Source organism: Homo sapiens, chromosome 22, assembly GCF_000001405.40.
Source record: "Homo sapiens chromosome 22, GRCh38.p14 Primary Assembly".
Taxonomy (NCBI): domain Eukaryota; kingdom Metazoa; phylum Chordata; class Mammalia; order Primates; family Hominidae; genus Homo; species Homo sapiens.
In genome coordinates this window covers 24,219,641-24,245,659 of record NC_000022.11, presented here as the reverse complement: position 1 = coordinate 24,245,659, position 26,019 = coordinate 24,219,641, and the positions used below count along the sequence as shown (strand labels likewise).

At 52.2% G+C, this 26,019-nt stretch overlaps 1 protein-coding gene across 18 annotated transcripts, besides 3 other annotated features; it reads left to right on the top strand.

Moving 5' to 3' along the window:
* Positions 1-517: 517 nt before the first annotated feature.
* Positions 518-26,006, top strand: GGT5 (gamma-glutamyltransferase 5). Of its 18 annotated transcripts, none has more exons than XM_005261558.4 (13): positions 518-1,107; positions 11,656-11,786; positions 12,067-12,162; positions 12,642-12,837; positions 13,452-13,609; positions 14,130-14,276; positions 18,893-19,029; positions 19,394-19,584; positions 20,008-20,114; positions 20,249-20,415; positions 20,554-20,664; positions 25,076-25,168; positions 25,544-26,006. In XM_005261558.4, exons 1-13 carry the CDS (start codon positions 935-937, stop codon positions 25,688-25,690), a joined length of 1,854 nt encoding a protein of 617 aa, XP_005261615.1. In that variant the 5' UTR covers positions 518-934; the 3' UTR covers positions 25,691-26,006. The 18 variants fall into 18 exon arrangements, with proteins under 18 accessions (XP_005261615.1, XP_005261614.1, XP_011528435.1 ...); XM_005261557.4 differs by having other exon boundaries at positions 20,246-20,415; XM_011530133.3 differs by having other exon boundaries at positions 20,231-20,415.
* Positions 686-1,241: an enhancer, noted in NCBI's record as "H3K4me1 hESC enhancer chr22:24640387-24640942 (GRCh37/hg19 assembly coordinates)". NCBI's record gives its function as "activates a minimal SCP1, AML or CMV promoter by ChIP-STARR-seq in naive H9 embryonic stem cells {active_cell/tissue: H9 hESC(naive)}" and the evidence as "EXISTENCE:reporter gene assay evidence [ECO:0000049][PMID:30033119]".
* Positions 1,242-1,797: an enhancer, noted in NCBI's record as "H3K4me1 hESC enhancer chr22:24639831-24640386 (GRCh37/hg19 assembly coordinates)". NCBI's record gives its function as "activates a minimal SCP1, AML or CMV promoter by ChIP-STARR-seq in naive H9 embryonic stem cells {active_cell/tissue: H9 hESC(naive)}" and the evidence as "EXISTENCE:reporter gene assay evidence [ECO:0000049][PMID:30033119]".
* Positions 2,232-2,281: an enhancer, noted in NCBI's record as "active region_18766". NCBI's record gives its function as "activates an Ori minimal core promoter by ATAC-STARR-seq in GM12878 lymphoblastoid cells {active_cell/tissue: GM12878}" and the evidence as "EXISTENCE:reporter gene assay evidence [ECO:0000049][PMID:35858748]".
* Positions 26,007-26,019: the final 13 nt, after the last annotated feature.

Below are 26,019 nucleotides of genomic sequence, written 5' to 3'. Positions count from 1 at the left end.
GTCAAGTCCCCCTGTCCTCTGTGCAGACTGGGAAGCCCTTGGCCACCCTGGGGAGTTGTGGGACCCAGGCCAGGCTGCAGAAGCATAAGGACTTGAACCCAAGTTTTAAGTGACACCACCTTGTGTCCCCCTCCCTCTGCCTCTGTTCAGCTCCACCTTGATGCTGACTAGGCTGGGCCATGAGGAGAGGGTTAGGGGATAGAGATGGGAGCTGGGGAGCAGGGCTCCACTCTGGGAGGGGGGCAGCCTTGCCGGATCCAGGGGAGAGAGTTGAGCGGCCCCAGCTCTGCTTTCCCAGAGCTGCCGGGAACCCGGGGAATGGTGTGGAGGTTCCAGGGAGCCCTGCCCCTACCTGGCAACCGCAGTGCAGCAGGCACCAAGTTCTCCTGCACATTGCGACAGTGTGACCCTGGGCTCTGGCGGGCGGTAGGTGGGGCCTTTGGACCTACTAGCAGTGAGGGAGTTAACACAGCAGCTGACTCCTCTAGGCAAGGAAAACTCCCCTCAGACGCTTTGCTGCCTGGCCTCCTGCCAGCAACAAGCAGGAGCTGAAAACCAGAAGTTGAGGCGTGAGTTTGGCCACTCCGTAGTGTGCACTTGGTGAGGGCAGCAGCTCGCCACAGCTGCCAGCCATCTGTCCATTCACCCATCTGTCCATCTGGCAGCCCGCTGTTCAGACCTGTCTGTCTGTCCGCCCATCTGTAAGCCCATCTCTGTCCCATTGTCTATCTGACCATCTTTCTCTTACTGTCCTCTTTGTCTAGCTATCTGGCCTATCTGTCGATCCATCTTCGTGTCTGTCTTCAGCCCCCACCTGTTTGTCCATCTGTCCAATTACCTGTGACTCTGTGCATCTTCTTGTCCATTCATCTGCCCACCCATCCGTCCCTCCGTCTGCCCACCAGCCGCCCCTCTCCTCCTGGGCTGCAGAGCCATGGCCCGGGGCTACGGGGCCACGGTCAGCCTAGTCCTGCTGGGTCTGGGGCTGGCGCTGGCTGTCATTGTGCTGGCTGTGGTCCTCTCTCGACACCAGGCCCCATGTGGCCCCCAGGCCTTTGCCCACGCTGCTGTTGCCGCCGACTCCAAGGTCTGCTCGGATATTGGACGGTGAGTGAGACGTGGGAGGAAGCTGGGTGGCCCTTGGCAGCCAGCCCCTCCTGGAGAAGGCGTGTGTGTGTGTGTGTGTGTGAGTGAATGTATGTGTGGGTGTGTGTGTGAGTGTCTGGGTATGTGTGATTGCATGCATGTGTGGGTGTGTGTGAGTGTATGTGAGTGTGAGTGTGGGGAGTGTGGGTGTGTGTGAATGTGTGTGATTGTGTGTGGGTATGTGTATGTGTGGGTGGGTGTGTGTGTGTGTGTGTGTGCACGTGCACTGGCCCAGGAAGCAGGAGCCGTGTGTGTGTGGGCTTCAGCACCTGCAGGTCTTGGGCGCAAGGAGGCAGCCTCAGGGCCCTTGCACAGAACAGGTGGCAGGGTGTGCTCGTGGGGCAGATGGGGACTTGGGGACAATGGTGGTGTGTGAGTCCACGCCTGGCTCCAGGATTCAGGAGGCCCATTTGCATATCCCAGGTGGGAACCTGTCTGGCCCCGCCTGACCCTGCTGGCCGGTGCAGGCCCCTTCAGTGAGGCCAATTCTCCAAGGCTGCGGTCTTCTCCCAGGGTCATGGGTGAAGGGGTTTGGAGGCTCCCTGCGTGGGTACTGGCCTGCTGGGGTACACACAATGCTGCCATAGCCAGTCTGCCCCAACACCCAGCCTGGGGCCACATCTCGGGTCTCTCAGTCCTGAGGAGCCCGGTGCCCCACCCCTCACATCCTCTCTCCCTGAGTCAGGGCCTGGGTCTCGTGAGCTGAGTGACTGATACTTGGTGTCCTGGATGAGGGCGTGGTGGAGAGGGGCCACAGCGGGTGTTTCCTGACCCTCTTCCAGGAAGCCCAGCCCAAGGGAGGCCTCCGCTGCTGCTGCTGCAGAGGACACATACAGGATGCCCCTTCCTGCTCCCTGCCTCCCACTGGGCCCACAAAAGCCAGGGCAAGCCTCCCCTCCCTGCCAGCCACCTGGTCTGCTTCCCAGAAGTTCTGTCTTGCAGGCTGTTGGGAGGATCCCAGTGCTTTGTAAATTAAAGCAAGGGAGGAGTGGCTGCTCTCTCTCTCTGTTCATTCATTCACCTTTTCATTCATTCCTTCTTCCCTCCATTCCCCCATCTGTCCATCCTTCCCTGCCCTGATTTCTCATGCCACCCCCCGCCCCTCCTGACCTGGTCCTTTGGTTTCTCTTCAGGTCTTTCTGTCTCCTCCCACAGGGCTGAGAATGGCAGCTCAGGGACAAGTCGGGGCTGGGGACTGCTTAGTCTCCCCAGTGGCTCTCAGGGGATTTGAGGGATTGACGCCAGCCGCCACCCCAGGCTGTGCCCCTCCTCTGCTCAGGAGGACATTCAGGATGCGACACCCACTTAAACTCGAAGTTGCAAAGATGCAAATGAGACTGGAGTCTCAGGCACCAGAGACCACCCGTGGGCATGTGGCCTTTGGGAGTGGGGACCTGCTGCCACAAATTTCTAGGTGGAGTCTGGACCTGCTGGGTCTCCCTGAGTGACTGTCTGGGGGTCTCCATAGCGTGCCCTGCTGTGTGCGTGACGGTCACTGGTTGGGTAGGGGTCTCTACTCTAAAGCTCCCTCTGCTGGCATCCCCTCAAACTGTCCCTTGAAGAGAGAGGATGTGGTTTGCCCCAGTGTTTTGTCAAACAACTCTCTCCACTTCCTGTCTTAAGAAGCTGGGAGTGGAAGAGAGCCTGGGGCTGGCCCCAGCTGCTGCTGCGGAACAGGGGTCATTGGACACTGGGACCCTGGCCGGACTGGCTGGGGGGCCTCAGGAAGAGGCCTGCTGCAGCGTCATCCTGGCCAAGATCCCTCCTTGCAGAGGCCCCTGGCCACACTGCCACAGGGTCTGCTGGGGCCACCAGAAGCCCATGCTCCTGACTCCATCATCTCTCCCCTCTGTGCTCACCTCTCACCAGGAGGCCCTCCCAGAGTCCAGTCTCCTGCTCTTTTTTCTGTTTTGTTTTTGAGATGCTGTTTCGCTCTGTCACCAGGCTGGAGTGCAGTGGCATGATCTCGGCTCGCTGCAACCTCTGCCTCCTTGGTTCAAATGATTCTCCTGCCTCAGCCTCCTGAGTAGCTGGGACTACAGGTGCTAGCCACCACGCCCAGCTAATTTTTGTATTTTTAGTAGAGATGGGGTTTCACCATGTTAGCCAGGATGGTCTCCAACTCTAGACCTCGTGCTTTGCCCACCTCCGCCTCCCAAAGTGCTGGGATTACAGGAGTGAGTCACGGCACCCAGCCCCATCTCCTACTCTTTCAGCACTAGGTTTTATTCTTGGGATTCTGCTACAGCCGGAGCCCCTGGGTGCAAGCTCCTAAGCTTTCTGTGAGTGTGGACCCAGCACCGTGCCTAGTAGACATACAAAAGGAGCATGGTGACAGTGAGGTCTGTTATCTCCAGCATAATGACTGTTTTGATCCTTGTAAAAAAGGTGATTTTTGGCTGGGTGTGGTGGCTCACACCTGTGATCCCAGCACTTTGGGAGGCTGAGGCGGGTGGATCATTTAAGGTCAGGAGTTGGAGACCAGCCTGGGCAACATGGTGAAACCACGTCTCTACTAAAAATACAAAAATTAGCTGGGCATGGTAGCGGGTGCCTGTAATCCCAGCTACTTGGGAGGCTGAGACAGGAGAATCACTTGAACCCAGGAGGCAAAGGTTGCAGTAAGCCAAGATTGCACCACTGCACTCCAGCCTGGGTGACAGAGCAAGACTTGGTCTCAGGAAAAAAAAAAAAAGAAAGAAAGAAAAGTTTATATTTTTGTTCTAATGGTTATCTTAATATCTTCATTCTATAATTATATGTTTTATATAATTATAATAGCTATATAAGATATAATACCCCTAGTATGTTGTTTTTTGGATATTCTACTCGTTCCTGATGGTTAATTTATGTGTCAACTTGGCTAAGCTCTGGTGCCCCGTTGTTTGGTCAAATACTTGTCAATATCTTGCTGGGAGGTTATTTCATAGATGTGATTAACACTGACAGTCAGTTGACTTTAGGTAAAACAGATTACCCACCATAATATGGGTGGGCCACCTCCAATCAGTTGAAGGCCGTAAGAACAAAAACTGAGGTTTCCCAGAGAAGCAGGAATTCTGCTTCAACACTATAACACACAAACCCTGCCTGAGTTTCTGGCCTGCTGACTGCTCTACAGATGTTAGGTTCCAGACTTCGAGATCAACTCTTACCTGAATTTATAGCCTGCTGGCTTGCCCTACAGATTTTAAACTTGCCAGTCCCCAAAATCATGTGAGCCAATTCCTAAATAAATCTCTATGTATAACCTATTGGTTTAGTTTCTCTAAAAAAACTTCTATATCCAGTTTCCTGGATGTTAAGTAATACTGAAACTAGCTAGTAACCTCGTGTTTTTTTTTTTTTTTTTTTTTGAGATGGAGTTTTGTTCTTGTTGCACAGGCTGGAGTACAATAGCACGATCTTGGCTCACCGCAACCTCCACCTCCTGGGTTCAAGCGATTCTCCTGCCTCAGCCTCCTGAGTAGCTGGGATTACAGGCATGCGCCACCACACCTGGCTAATTTTGTATTTTTGGTAGAGACAGGGTTTCTCCATGTGGGTCAGGCTGGTCTCAAACTCCCGACCTCAGGTGATCTGCCCGCTTTGGCCTCCCAAAGTGCTGGGATTACAGGCATGAACTACTGCACCCGTCTCCTAGTAATTTCTTCTTTTCCATGATGTGTCTCTTATCTCTAATAATACTTTTCTTCTTAAAGTCTACTTCATTAAAAATAGTTATGCTGGGCATGGTGGCTCATGCCTGTAATTGGCACTTTGGGAGGTCAAGGTGAGTGGGTCGCTGAAGCCCAGGAGTTCAAGACCAGCCTGGGCAACATGGTGAGACAAAAAGTACAAAAATTAGCTGGGTGTGGCTAATATAATTCTAAGTTGGCACACTTGTAGTCCCAGCTACTTGGGAGGCTGAGCGGGGAGAATCGCATGATGCTAGAAGGGAGAGATTGCTGTGAGCCAAGATCACGTCGCTGCACTCCGGCCTGGGAGACAGAGTGAGGCTCTATCTCAAAAAAAAAAAAAAAGTTATACAGCTTTCTTGGTTAGTGCATGCATGATATATTTTTCATTATTTTCCACCTTTCTGTATCCTTACATAAAAGGCATTGGGTTTTACTTTATTTCCAATTACTTTAATTTTTATTGATTGTCCTTTTAAAAGTAGGTGATGATTTATTTGGGTTGAAACCCACCACCAACTTGTTTTCCATGCCTATTCTGTTTCTTCTTATCTCCTTTCACATCTTGTTTTGCATTTATTATTTTTATTATTCAATTTCCTTTTTCTCTATTAGTTTCCTAACTGTGCAGTCTTGGGGTTATTTTAAAAGATGACAGTAGATTATTTTAGAGCTTACAACATGCATCCTTCACTTATCAAAGTCTAACATGAGCTAGTACTTTTTTTTGTTTATTTGTTTTTTCTTGAGATAGAGGGAGTCTTGCTCTGCTGCCCAGGCTGGAGTGCAGTGGAGCAATCTTGGTTCACTGCAACCTCCACCTCTTGGGTTCAAGCAATTCTCCTGTCTCAGTCTCCTGAGTAGCTGGGACCACTGGTGTGCACCACTATGCCCGGCTAATTTTTGTATTCTTTTTTAGTAGAGACAGGGTTTCACCATGTTGGCCAGGCTGGTCTTGAACTCCTCACCTTAAGAGATCTGCTTACCTCGGCGTCCTAAAGTGTTGGGATTACAGGCGTGAGCCACCACGCCCAGCCTATGAGTTAGTACTTCTATCCTCTTCCTAGTCAGTAGAAGAACCTTGGAACAGGAACTAAATTTACCCCCAGTGACTTATATGCTAATATTTTTGTGTATTTTAAATATATGTGTGTGCATAGATGTATCTGTGTGTTTTTTGTGTTTTTATTCTTATTTATGTTGAGAGTGTAGAGCTATGTAAGAGTAAAGAGAATTGTGTAATGAAGCCCCGAGTATCCATTCAATTTCAACAACAATCTTATGGCCAAGCTCATTTCATGTATACTCTTTCCTGCTTCCCTCTACCCTACATTATTTCAGTGCAAATCCCAGATATATAACTTTACCCATACATATTTCAGTATGTTTTATTTTAAGCCCCACAAGATATCATTTTCTATACTACTATAATTTTATACCAATAACGTTCATTTAGATTTACCCACACGTTTACCTCTTCTGTTACCCTTTTTTTTTTGAGACAGAGTCTCGCTCTGTCGCCCAGGCTGGAGTGCAGTGGCACAATCTCGGCTCACTGCAAGCTCTGCCTCCTGGGTTCACGCCATTCTCCTGCTTCAGCCTCCCGAGTAGCTGGGACTACAGTCACCCGCCACCACGCCTGGCTAATTTTTTGTATTTTTTAGTAGAGACGGGTTTCACTGTGTTAGCCAGGATGGTCTCGATCTCCTAACCTCATGATACACCCGCCTCGGCCTCCCAAAGTGCTGGGATTACAGGCGTGAGCCACCACGCCTGGCCACCCTTTATTTTTATTTATAAAAATATCTTTGGGAAAAAATATCTTTGGGCACATGGTCAAGGATCTCCTGAGGACTGTGTCATGGGCTATATATATATTATATATATATATATATATTATATAATATATATTATATATATAATATATATAATATATATATATATAAAATATATAATATATATTATATATATTATATATATAATATATATAATATATATATATAAATATATATATATATATATAATATATTATATATATATAAATATATAATATATATTATATATATATATATATATTCCATATATATACACACACATATATATATATTCCACTTTCACTTTTTTTTTTTTTTTGAGACGGTGTCTTGCTCTGTCGCCCAGGCTGGAGTATAGTGGCGTGATCTCAGCTCACTGCAACTTCTGCCTCCCGGGTTCAAGTGATTCTCCTGTCTCAGCCACCTGAGTAGCTGGGATTCCAGGCATGAGCCACCACGCCTGGCTAATTTTTGTATTTTTTTTTTTTGAGATGGGGTCTCACTGTGTCGCCCAGGCTGAAGTGCAATGGCACGATATCTGCTCACTGCAACCTCCACCTCCCTGGTTCAAGCAGTTCCCCTGCCTCAGTCTCCCAAGTAGCTGGGATTACAACAGGCGCATGACACCATGCCCTGCTAATTTTTTTGTATTTGTAGTAGAGACAGAGTTTCACCATATTCGCCAGACTGGTCTCAAACTCCTGACCTCAAGCAATTTGCCTGCCTTGGCCTCCCAAAGTGCTGAGATTACAGGCGTGAGTCACCGCGCCTGGCCTTTTTTTTTTTTTTTTTTTGAGACGGAGCCTCACTCTGTCCCCCAGGCTGGGGTGTGGTGGGAAGATCTCGGCTTCCTGCAACCTCCACCTGCTGGGTTCAAATGTTTCTTGTGCCTCAGCCTCCCAAGTAGATGGGATTACAGGTGCCCACAACCACACCTGGCTAATTTTTGTATTTTTGGTAGAGATGGGGTTTTAACCACGTTGGCCAGGCTGGTCTCGAACTCCTGACCTCAGGTGACCTACCCACCTTGGCCTTCCAAAGTGATGGGATTACAGGCGTGAGCCACCACTCCCAGCCTCCATTTTTAATAGATGACAGTTCTTTGATAAAATTCTTATTTCTTTATATCCTTGAATATAGATACAAAGTACTTATTTTAAAGTACATGGTCTGCCAATTTCATAATCTGGAGATCCTATGGACCTTTTTAAAAGTTGTCTGTGCTTTCTCATGAGCTTTGTTCCTGCTGTCTTATTTCCTTGTTTGCTTGGTTGTTTTTAATTTGGCACTGGAGAGTATGTATAAAAATTGTTAGAGGCCGGGTGCGGTGGCTCACGCTTGTAATCCCAGCACTTTGGGAGGCCAAGGCAGGCAGATCACGAGGTCAGGAGTACAAGACCAGCCTGGCCAACACAGTGAAACCCTGTCTCTACTGAAAATACAAAAATTAGCTCTGCGTGATGGCTGGTGGCTGTAATCCCAGCTACTTGGGAGGCTGAGACAGGAGAATTGCTTGAACCCAGGAGGTGAAGGTTGCAGTGAGCCGAGATCGAGGCACTGCACTCCAGCCTGGACAACAGAGTGAGATGCTGTCTCAAATAAATAAATAAATAAATATAAAATAATTTGAGGCCTAGGGATCTGAAATTCTGGGATCTCCTTTATGCATTTGAGTGACTGAGATGATTTGAAGCTGGATCCAGTGCTCCTGAGGGCTGCTCTATTTCTAGTTGACTCCTAGAGTAAGAAACCTGCACCCCACGTGTGGGGCATTATGGCATCCCCTCCCTCAGCACATGAGTAGGTCAACAGCACTGCTCTAGACCAGGTGTGGTGGCTCACGCCTATAGTCCCAGCTACTCAGGAGACTGAGGCAGGAGGATTGCTTCAGGCCAAGAATTTGAGACCAGCCAGAGCAATATATTAGGTTGGTACAAAAGTAATTGCGGTTTTTGCCATTAAAAGTAATGGTGACCCTGTCTCAGAAAAATAAAAAGCAAAAAAAAAAAAAAAAAGAGAGAAAAGAAAAAAAGAATCCCTGATCTATTTCTCAGCCTCCTCTTCAGGATTGGCCGTCACCTTGAGGGGAATGCTGGCCTTGCCTGTCTCCAGCCCTGTACTTCTCTGCCTCCTATGCCTTTAAGCACATGTTTTCTATTTGCTGGGCTTTTCTAGTTCTCTGAGGGAAGTGTGGTCTGAATTACAGTCTCCCATTACCAGGAAGTCTGATTTACGTTTAACAGATTTTTTTTTTTTTTTTGAGATGGAGTCTCTCTCCGTTGCCCAGGCTGGAGTGCAGTGGTACAACCTTGGCTCACTGCAAGCTCCGACTTCCAGGTTCACACCATTCTCCTGCCTCAGCCTCCTGAGTAGCTGGGACTACAGGCACCCGCCACCATGCCCAGCTAATTTTTTGTATTTTTAATAGAGATGGGGTTTCACCGTGTTAGCCAGGATGGTCTCAATCTCCTGACCTCATGATCTGCCTGCCTGGGCCTCCCAAAGTGCTGGGATTACAGGCATGAGCCACCGCGCCCGGCCTTAACAGATTATTTTTTTAAAATGTAAGGGAGCAAGGCCAACGCTGGGGCCTGGGTAGGAGGCCATTGCAATAACCCAGCTGAGAGAGGTTGGTGGCTTGGACCAGTGTGGTGGAGATGGAGGTAGAACCTGCATCCAGAGTCACTGGTGGGTTGGATGTGGGGAAGGAAGAAAGTGACCAATCCAGGATGGCTCCAGGGTGTAGGCGCTGAGCAAAAGGGGGAGTGGTTGTGTCAATTTCTAAGACAACGAGGACTAGGAGAGGAGCCATTTCGCAGGGACGGTTGGAAGGAAAATCAAAAGTACAGTTTAGGTCATGGTATGTTTGAAATGTTTCTTAGACACCCAGAGTGGGTACCTTGTGCATAGCTGGGTATAAGTGTCTCGAGTGTAGGGAGAGGACTGGCGGAGTTAAAGTCGGGGAGTTACCATCACACAGGTTGCATCTCATGCCATGAGCCTGGATGGACTCACCCAGGGAGAAGATATAGATGCACAAGGACCATGGACCAAGCCTGGGGCCCCCAACATCAGGAGACCAGGGAGGTGGGACGAAAACCAAAGCCTGGCAGGGTGGGCGAGGTGGGTGCAGGGACCTGGCCCATTCCCTCTTGGGGCTTTGGTTTCCCCATCTGTAACCATTTACCCCATTTTGCCCTGGAAGCCAAGACAACTGACTAGGCTGGAAGCAGACAGGTTGGGGAAGCAAGGGTGCACTCCATTTAGTTAGGAAGTGAGGCCTTTGTCTGGGATGGGAGTTTAAAGTGTTTTTTCCCCCAGTTTGTCATTTGGCTTTGTTTATGGTGTTTTATTCTTATAAAAATTAGTGTTTATGCCTGACTTGTTTATTTCATTTTCTGGCTTTGTGCTCTCTTTCCTGTTCCAAGATTACATGTGTCCCTGTGGTGCCCATGTGTGCCACGTGTGGGCCCAGAGAGGGACATGTGGCTCAGGAGCTGGGGTGGGTTTGTGTCCAGATGGACATGCTAGGTCAGGACAGACACCTGAGCCAAAGGAGGGTGCTAGGGCCAGAGGTCCCACGGGGTGGGTGCAGGGACCCAGGTCCATTCCCTCTTTGGGCCTTGGTTTCCCCATCTGCAACTGGGGCTTAAATGCTGGCTTCTGGCCGGGCACAGTGGCTCACGCCTGTAATCCCAGCACTTTGGGAGGCCGAGGTGAGCAGATCATCTGATGTCGGGAGTTTGAGACCAGCCTGACCAACATGGAGAAACCTCGTCTCTACTAAAAATACAAAATTAGTCAGGCGTGGTGGTGCATGCCTGTAATCCCAGCTACTCGGCAGGCTGAAGCAGGAGAATCGCTTGAATCCGGGAGGCGAGGTTGCAATGAGCCAAGATAGTGTCATTGCACTCCAGCCTGGGCAAGAAGATTGAAACTCTGTCTCAAAAAAAAAAAAAAAAAAAAAAAAAAGCTGGCTTCTTGAGGTGCTGGGGAGGAAGGATTCCTGGGTGTTAGGGAAGAGGTTGACCTCAGTGAGCTGTGCAGGCCTGTGCCCCAGGGACAGGGATCATCATAATGTAGGCCAGGCTGACCAGCCCTCAGTGCTAAAGGGCCCACCTCTTGCTGCCCATGGACAGATGGGGAGGGGTAGGCCAGAGCATTTATTTTCTTTCTTTCTTTTCTTTTCTTTTTTTTTCTTTTTTGAGGCAGTCTTGCTTTGTTGCCCAGGCTGGAGTGCAGTGGCATGATTTCAGCTCACTGCAACCTCTGCCTGCTGGGTTCAAGCAATTCTCCTGCCTCAGCCTCCTGCGTAGCTGGGATTACAGGTGCCCGCCATCACATTCAGCTAATTTTTGTATTTTTAGTAGAGACGGGGTTTCACCATGTTGGCCAAGCTGGTCTTGAACTCCTGACCTCAAGTGATCTATCCGCCTCGGCCTCCCAAAGTGCAGGGATTATAGGCATGAGCCACCACACCCAGCCTAGGCCAGAGAATTTCCATAGGCTCAGAGTCCCAAGAGAAGTTTTGGGGTCCATCAGCTCAAGCCCTATGCCCTGCTGGCAGGGAAGGATCCTGGGATCACCTGCCAAAGGCCAGCCTTGAAGTAGTTGTGGCCAGAGTGTCCCCAGTGAGATGGGGAGTGGAGTCCCAGGGTGGGCTCCTGAGGCCACTGTGAGGGACTGAGAGGTGGCCGAGGCCTCGTTCTGCCTGTAGCATATGAGCTGGTGCTGCTGGGAACAATGGCAACAGAAGTACTTTGCAAACTGAGAAGCACCTTGTATATGGCAAAGGTCAGTGTAAATGGCATCACACTTTGCAACCGTAGTGTGTTGTGGACCTGTGAGCAGCTGGATTTGATGGGGAAGCCTGGTTGTGTTCTGCAACCTAATCTGCGGTTTGGTGGCAGCCGACGTGCCGCCTCCGTCACCATTCTCCAATGAGTGCCAGCTGAGCAAGCCTGGTGGGGAGGCAGGGGGAGGGGAGCCCCACAGCGACTCTGTGCCATGTCCCCTAGAGCCATCCTCCAGCAGCAGGGCTCACCCGTGGATGCCACCATCGCGGCTCTGGTCTGCACCAGCGTCGTCAACCCTCAGAGCATGGGCCTGGGCGGAGGGGTCATCTTCACCATCTACAATGTGACAACAGGTGGGCCCACATGTGAACTGCCATGGGGAAGATGGGCTTGTCCACACCACTGCGTAACCCCTTCTCCAGCCAGTCCCATCAACTCAAGCCCGTTTCTGGGTGTTCTTGGGCCCCCTGCCCTGCCCCATTTGCCTCAGCTGTGCAAAGCCCTTGTGTCAACTCCTGTCCCTGTGTTAGCCCAGAGTCCATCTCATAATGCAGAGATGGAAACTGAGGCCTAGAGCAGGCCAGGGGCTGTCTGCAGGGTCCATGACCACTCACCTGCCCTGCCCTACTCCAGGGAAGGTGGAGGTCATCAATGCCCGGGAGACGGTGCCGGCCAGCCACGCCCCGAGCCTGCTGGACCAGTGTGCACAGGCTCTGCCACTGGGCACAGGTGACGCCCCATGGAGGTCCCCCACTCCCACCCCCCAGGCCACTAGGACTAATCAGAACACCCCCGCAAAGGAGCAGCGCCTCACGGACAGGCTGTGACTCCCTGGCACGGGGGGACACGGAGCCTGTGGGGAACCCCCAGCCCCAACCTGCAGGGATTGAGAAGGTCCCCCTTGGGAACGGGCTCTCTGAGGTGATCCAGGGAGAGGGACCAGGCTGGACAAAGGCCTGGAGGGTTCAGTGGAGATGGGTTGGCGGGGCAGGGTGGGGCTCCTGGGGCCAGTTTGTGTAGGGCCCCTTGGGCTTGGCCATGGACTTTGTGGGGAGCCACAGGTGATTTGAGCAGGGAGGGACGTGGTCGGGTGTGGGCTCCAGAAAGCTCACTCTGGCTGCTGTAACTGGGGGGCCACATGTAGGGGTGATGGCAAACCTGGGAAGGCCTGGAAGCCACAGGGTTGAGAGCTGGGATGTGCCATGCAGGGGCCCAGTGGATCGGGGTGCCCGGGGAGCTCCGTGGCTATGCCGAGGCCCACCGCCGCCATGGCCGCCTGCCCTGGGCGCAGCTGTTCCAGCCCACCATCGCGCTGCTCCGAGGGGGGCATGTGGTGGCCCCTGTCCTCAGCCGTTTCCTGCACAACAGCATCCTGCGGCCTTCCTTGCAGGCGTCAACCCTGCGGTGAGCCCCACATGGTGGCCCTGGGTTCCTGGGTTCAAGGCCATATCCTGTCTGGGCCCAGTCCACACCCCAGCTCTGCCTCAGTCCCTCTTACACTGGAGGATTGACCCTCGGGGTGCTGGCCAGGACAAAGAGTACTTTTCATGGCCCTTCCAGCTCCCCGTGGCAGAGCCTAACTTGGGGTTAGGCTGCGGGGAGTTTATTGCCCAAGTGATAGGACTCCAAGGTGTGGATTTGGGCTCTGCCACCCGCCCTGGGGCCCCGGCCTCCTTCTTCCTCTCTCTGGCATGGCAGGAGGGCTTCAACTGCCACTCTCACCTGCCCCACCCAGCCCACTGACAGGCCCTCCCAGGAGTGAGATGACAGGCCCTAGGTGGACCCAGGCCCCACTGGGAAATTTGCCTTCCCTGGACCAGGGCCATGAGCTGGGTGAGTGGTGTCAGTCCCACCACCTCCTAGAGAATCAGTTCCCCGGTGTCCACCCCAGTGCCTCGGGACCCTGGGCCAGGGCGCCCCCCACTGTAGGGTCCTGAGGACTCCACCCATGAGAGCCCCGGAAGAGTGTGGCTGCCTCTGGGACCTGGCCCCACCCTGAGGCTCCCCCCACCCCCCAGCCAGCTCTTCTTCAACGGGACAGAACCCCTGAGGCCTCAGGACCCACTCCCATGGCCTGCACTGGCCACCACCCTGGAGACCGTGGCCACAGAGGGCGTGGAGGTCTTCTACACGGGGAGGCTGGGCCAGATGCTGGTGGAGGACATTGCCAAGGAAGGTCAGCCTCCCTGAGGTTCCATACCCCATCCCTGCTGGAGGAAGAGCCAAGTTCTGGGCACTGGGGGTTGAGGGCAGGCTCCTTCCCAGGCCCTGAGGGAGTGCAGGCAGTGCCCGGGACCCCGAGAGGCCATGCACCTAGCTCTGCCGGCCCAAGGACCCCTGTGGTCCAGGACCTCAGAGAGCAGAGCCTGCGGGTTAGGGCCAGCAGAGGGGCGTTACCGATGGTCACGGCAGGTCTGGGTAGCCGAGCTGACCATTCTCACAGGCTCTCATAAGCCAGCTCCCTCTCCCATCTTCCCTTTCTTTTCCCCAGCCTCCCTGCCTCTGGTCTCTGTCCACCCCTCCACGCCTGGCCCCAAGGGGCCAGTCCTGAGGCCACTGCCTACAGACCTACCATCATCCTGTGTCCACAAGGCAAAAGCATGAGTGGAATCCCATTGTGTGACCTGACAGCAGTGGCTATTCCTCCCCGCCTCAGTTTCCCATCTGTTCATGGAGCCCTCTCCTTCTCATCCCAGGGAGCCAGCTGACGCTGCAGGACCTGGCCAAGTTCCAGCCCGAGGTGGTGGATGCCCTGGAGGTGCCCCTGGGGGACTATACCCTGTACTCACCACCGCCGCCTGCAGGGGGTGCCATTCTCAGCTTTATCCTCAACGTGCTAAGAGGTAAAGCCCCTGCCCAGAGCCCTGGCGCCCACCCCCTCCCCCGCACCCCCGGCCCCCGGGAACTCAGACTCCAAGCCCAAGCCCAGCCAAGGCCCAGCTCAGCCTCCTCCTCCATAAACCGGGTTCACAGATGCACAATATGAAGACAGAGCTGTGGAAACCAATCAGGATGGTGGGTTTTAGAGCTGGCCTCCAGCTCGACCCATACGTGAGGCTTTGCTGAAGGGCGTGATATCATTCGTCCAGAGTCCTCCTCCCACTGGGTGACCAGTCCCAGACACAGAAGCAGGTGGGCTGTGTGGGTGGTGAGCTGCCTGTCAGGGGCGTGCACCTGGGGGAGCGAAGCCAGCCTAGCCCAAGGCAGCCTGCAGGGGGGTTCTGGCAGTGCTGAGGCCTGGGGCTGCCTGCGCTGGCTTAATATTAGTGTCCTGTGTCTGCCATTACAAATCACCACAAGCTTGGTGGCTTAAAATAACAGAAATGTGTCCTCTCACAGTTCTGGAAGCCAGAAGCCCGATATCTAGGTGTCCACAGGGCTGCATTCCATTGGGGGCTCCAGGGGAGAATCTGTTCTTTGCCTTGTTGACCTAAATAAAAAACAGAACAAGGCTCTCAAAGAAAATGATGTTTGTTCCAGAGTAGGCATCGCGGTAGGAATACCCATGCTAGGGTAAACTATGTGTGTATTCAGGGAGGTGAAGGAAGACAAAAGTTTTCAAAGAGAAAATGAGGAAGATTATATAACTTTTTTGTTTACAATCAATGATAATTTATTGTACATTTTATTTTTTTCATTGCATTATTATTATTATTATTATTAATTATTGAGACGGTGTCTTGCTCTGTCGCCTAGGGTAGAGCACAGTGGCACAATCTCGGTTCATTGCAAACTCTGCTTCCTGGGTTCAAGTGATTCTCCTGACTCAGCCTCCCAAGTAGCTGGGATTACAGGCATGGGCCACCACACGCCGCTGATTTTTATCTTTTCTTTTTTTCCTTTTTTTTTTTTTTCTTTTTAGACAGAGTCTCAATCTGTCACCCAGGCTAGAGTGCAATGGCACGATCTCAGCTCACTGCAACCTCTGCCTCCCAGGTACAAGCAATTCTCCTGCCTCAGTCTCCCAAGTAGCTGGGATTACAGGCGCTTGCCACGACACCGAGTTAATTTTTGTATTTTTGGTAGAGATGGGGTTTTGCCACGTTGGTCAGGCTGGTCTTGAACTTCTGATGTCAGGTGATCCGCCCACCTCGGCATCCCAAAGTGCTGGGATTACAGGCATGAGCCACCGCGCCCAGATGATTTTTATCTTTTTAGTAGAGACGGGGTTTTACCATGTTGGCCGGGCTGGTCTTGAACTCTTGACCTTAACTGACCCACTTGCCTCAGCCTCCCAAAGTGCTGGGATTCCAGGCGTGAGCCACCTCTGCCTGGCTATTTTATTTTTATTTCATTAGTTTTTGGGGAACAAGTGGTGTTCGGTTGCATGGAAAAGTTATTTAGTGGTGATTTCTTTTTTTTTTCTTTTTTTTTTTGAGATGGAATCTCACTCTGTGGCCCAGGCTGGAGAGCAGTGGCATGATCTTAGCTCACTGCAACCTCTGCCTCTGAGGTTCAAGCAATTCTCCAGTCTCAGCCTCCTGAGTAGCTGGGATTACAGGTGCACGCTACCAAGCCTGGTTAATTAATTAATTTATTTATTTATTTTATTTTTTTAGTAGAGATGGGGTTTCACCATGTTGGCCAGGCTGGTCTTAAACTCCTGACTTCAAGTGATCTGCCTGCCTCAGCCTCCCAAAGTGCTGGAATTACAGGCATGAGCCACCGCATCTGGTCTTTAGTGGTGATTTCTGAGATCTTGATGCACCCATCACACAAGCAGTGTACACTGTTCCTAGTGTGTAGTCTTTTATCCCTCATTCCCCTCCCACCCTTCCCCTTGAGTTCCCAGAGTCCATTAGAGCATTTTTCTTTTCCTCTGAGACAGAGTCTCGCTCTGTCGCCAAGGCTGGAGTGCAATGGTGCGTCTCGGTTCACTACAAACTCTGCCTCCTGGGTTCAAGCGATTTTCCTGCCTCAGCCTCCCACGTAGCTGGGATTACAGGCGCCTGCCACCACAACTAATTTTTTTTTTTTGTATTATTAGTAAAGATGGGGTTTCACCGTGTTGACCAGGCTGCTCTTGAACTCCTGACCTCAGGTGATCTGCCTGCCTTGGCCTCCCAAATTGCTGGGATTACAGGTGTGAGCCACCATGCTGGGCCCCATTATATCATTCCTTCTTTTTTCTGGAGATGGAGTTTTGCTCTTGTCACCCAGGCTGGAGTGGAGTGCAATTGCGCGATCTCAGCTCACTGCAACCTCTGCCTCCCGGTTCAAGCGATTCTCCTGCCTCAGCCTCCCGAGTAGCTAGGACTACCCATGTGTGCTACCATGCCCGGCTAATTTTTGTATTATTAGAGACAGGGTTTCATCATGTTGGCCAGACTGCTCTTGAACTCCTGACCTCAGGTGATCCACCTGCCTCGGCCTCCCAAAGTGTTGGGATTATAGGCATAAGCCACCATGCCTGGCCCATTATATCATTTTTATTCCTTTGCGTCCTCATAGCTTAGCTTTGGTATATAACTGTTTCGGGCCTGGCATGGTGGCTCACGCCTGTAATCCCAGCACTTTGGGAGGCCAAGGCAGGCGGATCATGAGTTCAGGAGATCGAGACCATCCTGCCTAACACAGTGAAACCCTGTCTCTACTAAAAATACAAAAAATTAGCCAGGCGTGGTGGCGGGCACCTGTAGTCCCAGTTGCTTGGGAGGCTGAGGCAGGAGAATGGTGTGAACCCAGGAGACAGAGCTTGCAGTGAGCTGAGATCACACCACTGCACTCCAGCCTGGGCAACAGAGTGAGACTCTGTCTCAAAAAAAAAAAAAAACTGTTTTGAAATGATCATCCTTGGCTAGTAGGATGCATGGAAAAGTGATAAGGGTGGCACTGGACAGGCCACTCATGGGCAGATGTCTTTGCAGAAGTATTTTTTGTGTAAGATTGTGATGGCCTTCTTGTAAGGTTGTGAGCTGTTGTGTTTTTGAGGCAGGGTCTTGCTCTGTCACCTGGGCTGGAGTGCAGTGGCACTGTCAAGGCTCACTGCAGCCTCAACCTCCTGGACTCAAGCAATCCTCTCACCTCAGCCTCCCAAAGTTTTGGGATTACAGGCATGAGCCACTGCACCCAGCCGAGAACGGGGCACTTGTGCACGAGAGTCCTGTCTTCATGGCCTTTCCCTGGCTCTATTTTTCAGAGTTTTTTTTTTTTTGTTTTGTTTTTTTTTTTTTTTTTTGAGACAGAGTCTTGCTCTGTTTACTAGGCTGGAGTGCAGTGGTGCAATCCTGCCTCACTGCAACCTCCTCCTCCCGGGTTCAAGCAATTCTCCCTCCTCAGCCTCCCTAGTAGCTGGGGTTACAGGCACCCACCATCATGCCTGGATAATTTTTGTATTTTTGTAGAGATGGGGTTTCACCATGTTAGTCAGGCTGGTCTTGAACTCCTGACCTCAGCCTCGGCCTCCCAAAGTGCTGGGACTACAGGTGTGAGCCACTGTGGCTGGCTGCCGCTCTATTTTGAAAATTTTCACAGCCTCTTCCCACTTCCGGTGGCTGCCAGCATTCCTTGGCTTGTGGCTGCCTCACTCCAGTCTCTGTCTCCATGATCATACTGGTTTCTCCTCTGCTGTGTGTCCTCTCCTCTATGTGTCTGTCTTACAAGGACACTGTGGTCACATTCAGGGCACATCTAGATAATCCAGGATCATCTCCTCCTCTCAAAATCTTTAACGTACTTTAGGCCGGGTGTGGTGGCTCATGCCTGTAATCCCAGCACTTTGGGAGGCTAAGGAGGGTGGATCACTTGAGGTCAGGAGTTGGAGACCAGCCTGGCCAACACAGTAAAACACCATCTCTACTAAAAATACAAAAATTAGCCGGGCATGATGGCCTGTGCCTGAAGTCCTAGCTACTTGGGAGGCTGAGGCGGGAGAATCACTTCAACCCAGGAGGTGGAGATTGCAGTAAGCTGAGATCGTGCCACACACTCCAGCCTGGGTGACAGAACAAGACTTCCTCTCCAAAAAACACAAAAAAGGCGGGGCATGATGGCTTACGCCTGTAATCCTAGCACTTTGGGAGGCCAAGGCAGGCAGATCACTTGAGGCCAGGAGTTCAATACCAGCCTGAACAACATGGCGAAATCCTGTCTACTAAAAATACAAAAATAATTAGCTGTACGTGGTGGCGAACACATGTAGTCTCAGCTACTCAGGAGACTAAGGACCAAGAATCACTTGAACCCAGGAGGCAGAGATTGCAGTGAGCTGAGACTGCGCCATTGCACTCCAGCCTGGGCAATAGAGTGAGACTCTGTCTAAAAAAAAAAAAAAAAAAAAAAAAATCCTTAACTTACTTTTCCACTTAAGGTATTAGTCACTCTTGTGCTGTATAAGGTAATATCCACAGGTTTTGGGAATTAGGATGTGGGTGGATCTTTCTGTGGTGGGGGGTGGGGGCAACATTCAACCCATTACATAGGGTGACCCCAACCAACCTGTGCCCCAACCTCTCTCCAGGGTTCAACTTCTCAACAGAGTCTATGGCCAGGCCTGAAGGGAGGGTGAACGTGTACCACCACCTTGTAGAGACGCTCAAGTTTGCCAAGGGGCAGAGGTGGAGGCTGGGGGACCCTCGAAGCCACCCGAAGCTCCAGGTGAGGTTGCTGAGGTTGCTGGGCTGGTGGGCCGTCCTCCTCCCTGGCTCAGGACTTGGCATGAAATGAGGGTCAGGCCTGGTAGGGGGAAGTTGGAGGGATATGTATGTGGTTCTAGGCCAGGGCAGGACTGAAAGGGATCCCGGGGTGGCAGGTACAGGGGTCAGGTGCAGGAGTGGCACCATATCTCAAAGGACCTGGAGGGTGAGCAGAGTCTAGACCTAGCTGGGCTTGAGGGAGACCTGGCCACAAGGTAGAGGACAGACTGGAGGTGGCCCCCATGGGGGCTGATCTCATCCTGCCCTTGGTTCTGCGGATTCTGCCTGGCCCCTCACTGACCCTGCCACCTGCCCACCCACCCCAGAATGCCTCCCGGGACCTGCTGGGGGAGACCCTGGCCCAGCTCATCCGCCAACAGATCGATGGCCGGGGGGACCACCAGCTCAGCCACTACAGCTTGGCCGAGGCCTGGGGCCACGGGACAGGCACGTCCCATGTGTCTGTGCTGGGGGAGGATGGCAGCGCCGTGGCTGCCACCAGCACCATCAACACACCGTGCGTAGGGCCTGGGGGAAGGCGGATGGCTTCACTCCTCCTCTCCTAGACCTGCACACCCCCAGCCCCATGTCCCCTCACTTGTCCCCACGGGGCAGCACCTTGCTTTTGCCCTTTTTCTCCTCCTCTATTTCAAAAGAGGCCCCCACCCCTGACATCTCTGGCTGGAAAGGCTGCTGCTGGGGTGGCCCCGACCCAAGATTTACCTGGGAATGGGTAGCCTCACTCAGAAGGGTGCCCTGATGTGGGGGCACAGGTGGGTCTTTGGGGACCCCTCCTGGGTGGTGCCAGGGAGAGAATAGCGGCTTCAGCATGCTTCGGGGCAGCTGTAAAACGAGGGGGTCCTGCAAAGCGTGCAGGGTAAGTGGTGTCTGGTGGGAGCCCCGGGTCCTAGCCCAGGCTCTTCTGCCTCCACGGCTGCAGCTTTGGAGCGATGGTGTATTCACCACGGACAGGCATCATCCTCAACAACGAGCTCCTGGACTTATGCGAGCGATGCCCCCGGGGTTCCGGCACCACCCCCTCACCTGGTGAGAACAAAGCTTCCCACCCGGGGTCCACAAGGGCCCCCCACCAGGGGAGAGGAGGGAGGGGGCTGGGCTGGGGTTGCATGCTAACCCCTGGATGGGTCACTGCACTTGCCAAGACGCTGTTTGCTCAGCAGTGAGTGGAGACAGGGTGGGTGGAGCTCCCGGAAGGTGCTGGCCCCCAGTTCCAGGCGAGCGTTCCCCATCCTCCATGGTGCCCTCCATCTTGATCAACAAAGCCCAGGGGTCGAAGCTAGTGATTGGCGGGGCTGGCGGGGAGCTCATCATCTCTGCTGTGGCCCAGGTGAGTCTGGGGCTCCTGGCTCGAGTGTCTCCTCTCTGGGCAGCATACTGTCTGACTGTCTCTGGAGTGGGGATGTGAGGGCTGATGTAGGGTAGCAGGGTGCCCCCTTTCTCCCTGAAACCCTCATCTCTCCCCCAGGCCATCATGAGCAAGCTGTGGCTTGGCTTTGACCTGAGAGCGGCCATTGCAGCCCCCATCCTGCATGTCAACAGCAAGGGCTGTGTGGAGTACGAGCCCAACTTCAGCCAGGTGAGGCTGAGGTCCGAGCTGGATGCCTAGGGCAGAGCCCACTCCCCAAATCCGTGCTGCTCAAAGCCACCTGGGAGGAACTCAGTCACTGAGATTCTTAGGCCAGGTACACTTCAACTTTGGGGGCCATAGGAGTTGGGGACCTTGATGGGTGAGGCTGTCAGTGGCCTCCAGGCCAGTTCTGTGGCCTCCAAGACAGAGAGCAGGGTATTGTCTATGCTGCTCCCAGGCTGAGGATCTCAGCACCTTGGTCTCTGGTCTGTGGTTGATGCCATTTTTCAGAAGTGAGTTTTCCTGGCTGGGGCCTCTCAGACTCTCCCTCATGGTGACTTTTTCCTTGTGTGATTTGTAACTAATATTTGCAACTTTATTTGTGAAAGAGGTTGTTTTTCCTGTGACAGTCTGTAAAGTGATTTTCTTCTGGGGCACTAGGGCATTGGTGGTAATTTTTACTATATATATAATTTTTTTTTTTTTTGAGACAGCATCTCACTCTGTTGCCCAGGCTGGAGTGCAGTGTTGCGATCACAGCTCACTACAGCCTTGACATCCTGGGCTCAAGTGATCCTTCCTCCTCAGGCTCCCAAGGAACTAGGACTACAGGTGTGTGCCACCACACCTGGATAGTTTTTATTTTTTTGTTTTTCGTAGAAACAGGGTCTCTCACCATGTTGCCTAGGCTGGTCTTGAACTCCTGAGCTCAAGCAATCTTCCCGCCTTGGCCTCCCAAAATGCTGGGATTATAGGCGTGAGCCACCATGCCCAGCCTACAAACATTTTTTTTGATTCCCCACAGAAGCCCATGGTGCAGCTCCAGGGGCTGAATTCTTCTGGCTGACTCCCCCTCTATCCTTAGACAGAGACTCAGCTTCCTTGGAGCATCTTTGGGTTGATGGATGCCCTTTGTTAGGACCTATTTAAAAGATTGATAGTGGCCGGGCATGGTGGCTCATGCCTGTAATCCCAGCACTTTGGGAGGCCGAGGCGGGTGGATCACCTGAGGTCAGGACTTCCAGGCCAGCCTGGCCAACATGGTAAAACCCTGCCTCAACTAAAAATACAAAAATTAGCCAGGCGTGGTGGCACACACCTGTAATCCCAGCTACTCGGGAGGCTGAAGCAGGAGAAACACTTGAACCCAGGAGGTAGAGGTTGCAGTGAGCCAAGATCGTGACATTGCACTCCAGCCTGGGTGACAAGAACAAAACTCCATCTCAAAAAAAAAAAAAAAAAAAAAAAAAGATTGATAGCAGCTGAGGTTCCAGATCGTCAAAGCTGCCTCTCCTGTTATGAGACTTCTTCGGTCTCAAGTCCACCTTCCAAAGCCCTTAGAACCTGAGAACCATGGCCTTAGTCCAGGAACAGAGTGTAGTCCCAAGAGCCTTAGTTTTCAGACCTTGAGACTAAGGACCTCAGCCTGTTAGGCTCAAACTCTTGGAGTTTGCAGGCCTCCCTCCGCATGTAGGGTCCTTCGCATGACAGGAAGACCCTCTCAGGGCTCTCGGGTTCCAGGGATCTTAGATATGGAGGATTTCAAGATCCAGGGCACATCCTTTGGAGCCCTCCTCCCTTGACTCTTTTTTTATTTTTATTTTTTTAGACAGTCTCACTCTGTCACTCAGGCTGGAGTGCAGTGGCATGATCTTGCCTCACCACAACCTCCGCTTCCCAGGTTCAAGCAATTCTCCTGCCTCAGCCTCTGAGTAGCTGGGACTACACATGTGCGCCACCACACCTGGCTAATTTTTGTATTTTTAGTAAAGATGGGGTTTCCCCATGTTGGCCAGGCTGGTCTTGAGCTCCCAATCTCAAGTGATCTGTCCACCTTGGCCTCCCAAAGTGCTGGGCTTATAGGCATGAGCCACTGTGCCTGGCCCTCCCTTGACTCTTTTTTTTTCTTTTTTTTGAGACGGAGTCTCGCTCTGTTGCCCAGGCTGGCGTGCAGTGGCACGATCTTGGCTCACTGCAAGCTCTGCCTCCCGAGTTCACGCCATTCCCCTGCCTCATCCTCCCGCCTCATCCTCCCAAGTAGCTGGGACTACAGGCACCCACCACCACGCTCGGCTAATTTTTTGTATTTTTAGTAGAGACAGGGTTTCACCGTGTTAGCCAGGATGGTCTCGATCTCCTGACCTTGTGATCCGCCCGCCTTGGCCTCCCAAAGTGCTGGGATTATAGGCGTGAGCCACCGCGCCCGGCCCCTCCCTTGACTCTTGACTGAAGGACCTTTGTCTTTGTGAACATCAATTCTCAGGACCTTTCACCCTGGGGACGTGAAATGCTGAGAATTTGGGAGATGACAGTCTGGGGACTGGGATTAATGGAATCCAGTGACCCACAAACCTAAGGTTCTCAGCTCCCTTGGGGAGTTGGAATGTCAGCTATTCAGGTCTAGGGCTTTCCATGGAGTAAATCCTAAACTCTGGGTTGGAGACTTTAAGCCTCCAAGGACCTTCACAGCTAAGGCCCAGGGACTAGGGCGAGGAGAGTCTTTGATCCTCAGAGTCTTGGAGTTTGGCCAGTGGACTCTGAGGAATGGAGTCTCTGAGCACTGAAGGTCCAACTTTGGCTTCAGCAGTAAAGGATCTTGGCCTTCAAGTCTAAGGACAGTGGGCAATTAGTAGGTCAGGCATGGGGAACTCATAGCCAAACGTGCAGGGCTCCAAAGACCTCATTTGCCCTGTCAGCAGCTCAGGCCATGTGGCATCACCCGATGCATCTAGATGTCTCCGGAATCTCAGGCCCTGCAGGGTGAGGTTCTCGGGCCATTAGTTTTTTTTGTTTTGTTTTGTTTTGTTTTTTTGGCTTGTTGTTGTTGAGACAAAGTTTCACTCTGTCACCCAGGCTGGAGTGCAGTGGCGCGATCTCAGCTTATTGCAACCTCCACCTCCTGGGTTCAAGCAATTCTCATGTCTCAGCCTCCCAAGTAGCTGGGATTACAAGTGTGTGCCACCAAGCCTGGCTAATTTTTGTATTTTTAGCAGAAACAGCGTTTCTCCATGTTGGCCAGGCTGGTCTCAAACTCCTGACCTCAGGTGATCTGCCCACCTTGGCCTCCCAAAGTGCTGGGATTACAGGCATGACCACCGCGCCTGGCTAGGGAGCAGTGTTTTTAAGGACAACTTGGCGGGTTGGGGGAAGCCAATGAGCCAGGAGTGCTGATAGGTCAGGGATGAAATCATAGGGAGTTGGCTGCGCGCGGTGGCTCCCGCCTACAATCCCAGCACTTTGGGAGGCTGAGGTGGGTGGTTCACCTGAGGTCAGGAGACCAGCCTGGCCAACATGGCGAAAACCTGTCTCTACTAAAATTACAAAAATTAGCTGGGCAAAGTGGCAGGCATCTGTAATCCCAGCTACTGGGGAGGCTGAGGCAAGAGAATCACTTGAACCTGGGAGGGGAAGTTGCAGTGAGCCAAGGTCGTGCCATTGCACGCCAGCATGGGTGACAGAGCGGGACTCCATCTCAGAAACAGACACACACAAAAAACCCCTGGAAATCATAGAATCATAGGGAGTTGAAGCTTTCTTCTTGAGCTGAGTCCGTTCCTGGGTGGGGGCCACAAGGTCAGATGAGCCAGTTAATCGATCTGGATGGTGCCAGCTGATCCATCAAGTGCAGGGTCTGCAAAATTTCTCAAGCACTGATCTTAAGAGCAGTTTAGGGAGGGTCAGAATCTTTAGCCTTCAGCTGCGTGACTCCTAAACCATAATTTCTAATCTTGTGGCTAATGTGAGTCCTACGAAGGCAGTCTGGTGCCCAGGCAAGAAGGAAGTCTGCTTTGGGAAAGGGCTGTTACCGTCTTTGTTTTAAACTATAAACTAAGTTTCTCTCAAAGTTAGTTCAGCCTACACCCAGGAATGAGCAAGGACAACTGGGAGGTTAGAAGCAAGATGGAGTCGATTAAGTTAGATCTCTTTCCCTGTCTCAGTCATAATTTTGCAAAGGCGGTTTCAGTCTTGCTGTTTTGCCCAGGCTGGAGTGCAGTGTCATGATCAAAGCTCACTGCAGCCTCAAACTCCTAGCCTCAAGGGATCCTCCTGCTTCAGCCTCCTGAGTAGCTGGGACTATAAGCACAGGGCCACCACATCCGACTAATTTTTTCTTTTTTCTTTTCTTTTATTTTTTAATAAAGACGTGATCTTGCTACATTGCCCAGGCTGGTCTTGAACTCCTGAGCTCAAAAGATCCTCCTGCGCCGGCCTCCCAAAGTGCTGGGATTACAGGTGTGAGCCACCACGCCCAGCCCAATTTTTGATTTTCTTTTAGAGACGGTGTCTTGCTTTGTTGCCCTGGCTGTTCTCAAACTCCTGGCCTCAAGTGATCCTGCCACCTTGGCTCCCAAGTGGCTAAGACTGTAGGTATGTGCCACCACGCCTGGCTTTTTTTTATTTCTTATTTTTTATTTTTTAGAAACAGGATCTTGCTGCATTGCCCAGGCTGGTCTCAAACTCCTGGCCTCAAGTGATCCTCCTTCCTCAGCCTCCCAAATTGCTGGCATTACAGGTGTGAACCACTGTGTCTGGCCTCAGTGTCTAAATCTTGAGAAGCCACATCCTCCATCGAAGGCCCCCTGAACTCAGATTTGCACCTCAAGGCCCTGGTGTCCTTGGATCCAGAACAGACATGAACTTGCATTTGGAGGTCTTCGGGCCTGGGTGGTGTCCTTCGTACATAGTCCCTGGAGGCTGAGCTTGTCCTCTATGGGCCTTTGGATCTCTTCCATGCTCCCATCTGGTCCTCCCCTCTTCCTGTGTCTTCAGGCCCTCTTCCTCTCCGTCTTGCCTTTTGATCATTTTTCTCATTTCTTGCAGAGGCCTCTCCCTCCTGGAGATGGGCTGAGCTGCCCTCCCCTGTGAACCTGCTTTCTCTCCTCTCCAGGAGGTGCAGAGGGGACTCCAAGACCGTGGCCAGAACCAGACCCAGAGGCCCTTCTTCCTGAACGTGGTCCAGGCTGTGTCCCAGGAGGGGGCCTGTGTGTACGCCGTCTCGGACCTGAGGAAGAGTGGGGAGGCCGCAGGCTACTAAGACACTGCTCTGCCCAGAGCTGAAGTCTGGCCCCACCATGAGTCCTGTGTCCAGGCCGGACATGGCTGGGGGACCAACTACTCTGGCAGGATCTGGACCCCTGGCAGGGGAGTCCAGCTGAGAGTGGAAGAGGTGGCGGGGACCAGCTGGGCAGATGAGAGGCTGAGCCTCATCCCTAACCCCCTTTCCCAGAGCCCCTGGTGGTCCTGAACCGGCCCCTCTATCCCTCCGCAGGCCTCTTGCCTGGGGCCACTCTCCCACCCTCTCGATCTGTATATCCTCCAGTCCAAGATTAAAGAGGCGGACTGTGGCCTGATTCCATGGTTCTA